Source organism: Homo sapiens, chromosome 6, assembly GCF_000001405.40.
Source record: "Homo sapiens chromosome 6, GRCh38.p14 Primary Assembly".
In the NCBI taxonomy this organism is placed as follows: domain Eukaryota; kingdom Metazoa; phylum Chordata; class Mammalia; order Primates; family Hominidae; genus Homo; species Homo sapiens.
Window position 1 is genome coordinate 47,152,227 of NC_000006.12, and position 6,000 is coordinate 47,158,226.

Genomic DNA, 6,000 nt, shown 5'->3' on the forward strand with positions numbered 1-6,000 from the left:
GGGAGGCTGAAGCAGGAAGATAGCTTGAGTCCAGGAGTTCAAGACCAGCCTGGGCAACATAGCAAGACTCCGTCTCTATAAAATAATTTTTAAAAAGGCGTATTTGAAAACTGAGCCTTACTCTGGAACAGCATATGTACTTTAGAGGAAAAAGATGATCACAAATAAAACAAGAGTGAGCAAAATCAAATGATACTCAATTATGACATTTTATGGCATATGCTGCAAGTGTTGTAAGGTTTCAGAAAATAAGGGAATTAATTTGAACAGTGTTTGTAGACAATCCTGCTTAGTAAATTCCTTAGCTCCAACCTACCATTTCACCATAGCAGCCACCCCCAAGCCTGGAGGCTTCTCTGCAAGGTCAGTTGGCCCTTCACTTTGGTATTAACCCTGAAGTCTTCAGACATTTATTCCTTACTAGCTTCCAGCTCAAATAAACAGAAAAGTATTAATAAACTACCATGTACAAAGTACTTCCTGTGTTTAGAAGACACAGCAATCACTAAGAAGCCGGTATTCTCCAACAACACTTTTCTTTCATCTTTGGATATGGGCTGCTACAGAAGGGAGACATGTAACCTGGGGCAAGGCAACTCTCTTCCGTCAGCACAAATATTGCAGAGGGCTGACAGCTGAGGGTATCTGCACATAGCACTACCAGCAGGTAGAGGAGTAAGTCCTCCAGTGCTGATGAGGGATGCAGGCAGTACATTACAGCATCCACTCTGGTCTCTCCTTTATACTGCCTGGATCCACTACTTTAAGTTCTAGAAGCATCTCCTCTAGGATTCCAGCTGTGAGGTTGGAGGATGGTAAAGATTCTCCTAAGGGAAACATAAGAGGAAATGGTTTGTAGGACAAGCTGCAGCCTTGGCCCTTGCAGCCCTGGCCACTGCAGCTGGTTTCAGGGTTACAACTGATATCCATGATCTCATTCCTCTTCAACAATTGTATTGACTCCCCTTTCTCTTGTCTAGCACCTCTGCTGATTGTGGTGGCTTACCCAAGGCATATCCAGATCCTCATTCCCAAGGAATCTCAGTCCCTGGTCCCCTGCTGCTGCATTTAACCATTTATCATCAATAACAAACAAGGGAGTATGAAGAATGAATTCCTTGCGTGACAAACATTTTTCTCCCTGCCCATTGTGCAACAGAAGTGACACTTCCTCCAGATATTCAGGGTTAATTACCTCTGCTAGAATTGTGACTTGAATTACTGTTTTAAGCCAACTCATTCTTTAATCAAGTTCAGACTTTTGCCTCATTCATTCGCTGATTGTTACAGAGGTGTAAGTTCAGAGGTTGCCATCTAGCCTTCCTCACTACAATAGCTTTAATCCACAGGCCAAGGAACCAGTGTGAAGATTGTGCTGCTACCAAATGTGTCTTCTCCAACTATACATTCAGGCACTGGAAAAAGGACTTCTGACTGAGTCTGTGAACCCGATGGCACATTGCAATTCAGATGTGGACAGAGATCCATTTAGTACCAGGTGTCATATGCCCCTCCTCTAACAGACGGCTCATGTTGATGCTCTGAATCTCTGTGTATCAGTGAACTCAGACCCTGTGCCCGGTCTTGAAATCTTTGGATATTCCCTTTTTCACAGCATACAATTTCCTGAATAAATGCAGATTCCTTTGGGAAGTACTGAGGGAATCATTAGCTGTTAACTCATGTGGTATTGCAGAATTCTTTCTCTTTGGGACCCAACCTCTCCTTCAGTGGGTTCTGGGTTTGAAAACTGGCTCAGATCTAGAACTGGGAGACAGGTTATGACTTTTTGTTGGAGCAACTGCCGTTAGCATTCTGATCATCTGCTCTTGATTTAATTTGTCATGTCGATCGAGTAGTGACTTTGTTGCCTGCCCGTAGTGATAAAGAGTTGTGCTAACCATCTCCATCATTCTCTGTGGGTCAGATTCCCTGGCTATTCCTCTGTCCTTGACCCTCTTTATGGTAAGTTTTGCCCACCTGGCTTCTACAGGTTCAGTGGCACCACCTGCAGCTACTGTCATGACAACCTCCCGTCACCGTTGTTATCAGAGAGTACAGCTCTGCAACTTCATCTCCTACGATCAGCCCCGACCTGCAGACAGTAGCTACCTCCGACCTTCTTAATGATGTTGGTGCCACTTTTATCCACATTTCTTAGTGCTTTGACCAATGGTGTATCATATGGGACCTCCGTGGAGCATAGACATCTGGTGGGTTTTCCAGCCTTAAGTAATGTATCTATCAGAGTGCCCGCTTTTGAGTCTTTTCAGCCCTTCTACCATAGCTATGACAATAATGTGTTTCTACTTCACTTAATGTGTTTTTTTTTTTTTTTTTTGATGGAGTCTCACTCTATCTCCCAGGCTGAAGTGCGGTGGCGCATCTCGGCTCACTGCAAGCTCCGCCTCCCAGGTTCACACCATTCTCCTGCCTCAGCCTCCCGAGTAGCTGGGACTGCAGGCGCCCTCCACCACACCCGGCTAATTTTGTTTGTTTGTTTGTTTTAGTAGACACGGGGTTTCACAGTGTTAGCCAGGATGGTCCCCATCTCCTGCCCTCGTGATCCGCCCACCTCGGCCTCCCAAAGTGCTGGGATTACAGGCATGAGCCACCACGCCCGGCCTAATGTGTGTTTTTTCCGTGCCTGTGGGAGCCATTTAGTAGCATGTTCATGTCATCTGCAGATGTCCTAGACAAAATGTGAAATCCTGTATTCCATAATTCTCTCAAATTGATAAATCCTCCATCATTCAGTTTTATATTCTGACACCACCGATCCAGTCTCATTTATAGTCTCCTGGCTCCCACAGGCACTTGCTGGCTGAGTCCTAATAGCTCCTAAAGCTCTGGAACCTTTCCCCCTTTATCTGGCCCAGCTCAGTCCTCAGCCAAGTCAGACTGTGACTTAACCCTAGTTATTGTCCTGGTGACCAGGAAAGTCAGGGACAGATTCTGAGACCGACACATGTTTTCCTACAGGGGAGAGAACACTGCATGATCTTCAAAGGTGGGAAGAGCACTGGTGCTTAATGGGAAGGAATCAACCCCTTCTGGGAGCTCAGGGCCTATAGAGAAATCCTAGAATTTAAGCTTTTTTAACTGCAAAATCCTGCAACATCTCGTGTGTCAGGGTCTTATTCCTTTCCAACCAAGGTGAGGATTTTAACATTGCAGATTTGCCCAAATTGAGATTTCAGCCTTCTTGGGAGTTCTGCTAATTTTCTTTTCTTTTCTTTTCTTCTTTTCTTTTATTTTCTGTCTTGTCTTGTCTTGTCTTTTTTTGAGATAGAGTCTTACTCTGTTGTCCAGGCTGGAGTGCAGTGGTGTGATCTCGGCTCACTGCAACCTCCACCTCCCAGGCTCAAGCAAATCTCCTGCCACAGCCTCCTGAGTAGCTGGGACTACAGGCACCTGCCACCATGCCCGGCTAATTTGTGTATTTTTAGTAGAGACGTGGTTTCTCCATGTTGACCAGGCTGGTCTCAAACTCCTGACCTCAAGTGATCCTCCTGCCTTGGCCTCCCAAAGTGCTAGGATTACAGGCGTGAGCCACTGCCTCCTCACCCTGTTAATCTTGTGATTAAATCAGGGGCCTCAAGTTCTCGGCCCTTAGGCTATAGAAGATGAGACAGAGTCTCGCTCTGTGGCCCAGGCTGGAGTGCAATGGCACAATGTCGTCTCACTGCAACCTCCGCCTCCCAAGTTGAAGCAATTCTCCCACCTCAGCCTCCCGAGTAGCTGGGACTACAGGCATGCACCACCAGGCCTGGCTAAATTTTTTTTGTATTTTTAGTAGAGATGGGGTTTCACCATATTGGCCAGACTGCTGTCGAACTCCTGACTTCAAGTGATCCGCTTGTCTCAGCCTCCCAAAGTGCTGGGATTACAGGAGTGAGCCACTGTGACCAGCGGAGAGCTTCTATATAAACTACCAAGGAAGTTGTCTGGCTTTCACACTTAGCCTTTAGTTGCTGCTTAATCCCTCACAGCTTTTCATTATTTAGTTCCTAAACTGTCCATTGTGCTTAGCAATAGCCAGCCACTTCCACTTAGAGTTACTTTTCCCCCTACAAATCCCTGATGCATGGCAACTGCTGGAGCATTCTCTTCGTTCTGGAATACATTTCCAGTTCACCTCCAGTACGAGTGTTAATAAGTGCAATGCTACCTTGTGCCAGGTGCTATCTGACGGTTGGTAAGGTCGTCATTGCCAATGAGCAGTGAGTGAGCCAGCTCCAAAAATCCCATCTTAGCATCTGGTTTCTCAAACTATTCCTGGCACTGACTATCACAGGCTGGGTTCCTAGGAAGCAAACTTAGTGATAGAGAGTCATACTCAGGAAATGTGTTACAGATTGCTCTTGCAGTTCATACCTGTGGAAGAGGAGAGGAAGCAGGGCTGGGTAGAGAAAGAAGTTGGGCTGTATTGCAGGTTCAACAAAGCTTCAGGGGACTCCTTGAAAAGCTCTGAATGTGAGATGGCCAAACACAATTGTGCAGAATCTGGCCGGCCTTTTCAGCTTTTTACCACTAGTCACTGGATACAGGCTGACCCAGGAAGGGGGTCTTGAATTTGGGTGAGGTGACCCTCTTTAAATAATTCTGAAGAGAATTGATAGGTGAAGGCTCTGTGGACAATACTCTCTGCAGCTGGGGGAATAGAGTCTTTTGGTGCTAGCTGGGCACCTAGGTGGCCCATCTCAGCACCCTCTACAGCTGCTCTCTTTATAGTATAAGGATGTGGGATAATTAACACAGGCAAGAAACCGTAGAGGACTAACTTTATTTTTCTTTTAGTTTTTTTTTTAATTGACATATAATACTTGTAGATATGCATGGGGTACATTGTGATATCTCTCTATATAATATATAGTGATCAGATCAGGGTAATTAGCATATCCATCATCTCAAACACTTATAATTTCTTGTTTTGGGAATATTCCATAAGAGCACCAACTTTAGACAGCTGACCCTGGAAGGCTGTGTGCCCACAAAAGGAGTGTTTGGTTCAGAGAAATTGCGTGAGCTAAATAGAGTGCAGGTCACTGAGTCTGACAGAGGTCAAGGCTAGATGTGGGGAGAGCACTGCATGGAGGCTCAGGAGACAGAGACTGGGGCCTTTCCTTTCTCAACTACTGAATGACTGGTAAAGTTGATTTACCTCTCTGACCCTCAGTTTCCTCTTCCAGAAATGAAGGTGATGGACCAGTCATTGCTTGTGTCTAGAATACATAAAGATTTCTCAAAACTCAACAATTAAATTAAAAATTCAAAAATTAGAAAAGGGGCAAAAGGCAAGCAGACATCTCACCAAAGAGGATATACAGATGGCAAAATAAGTACACAAAACGTCAAAGTTCAACGTCATTAGTCATGATAGAAATGCAAAATAAAACTACAGTGAGATATCACTACACAACTGTCAGAATAGCTAAATTTAAAACCAAATAGTGATAACACCAAATGCTGGTAAGGACGTGAGGAAACTGAATCATCCATATATTGCTAGTGAAAATGTCTTGGTTCAGCCACTCTAAAACCAGTTTGGCAATTTATTTAAAAACTAAACATATGCTTACCATATGACCCAGCAAATGCACTCATAGGCATTTATCCCAGAGAAATGAAAACTTATTTTCACACAAGAAACTGAGCATGAATGTTCATAGCAGATTTATTTGTATGACCAAGAACTGGAAACAACCCAAATGTCCTAACTGAATGGCTAAACAAACTGTGATACATCCATACCATGGAATAGTACTCTGCAATACAAAGAGAAAAAAACTGCTGATCTATGCAATAACTTAAGTGGTTCAAAAAGGAATCATGCTGAATGAGAAGAGCCAATCTCAGAACTGTATATACTGTTTGATTTAATTTATACAACAGTCCTAAAATGATAAAATTATAGATATAGAGATCAGATTATTGGTGGCCAGACACTGGGAGAGGGAAGCAGAAGGAGCGAGGTGGCTGTAGCTCTGAAAGGGAAAC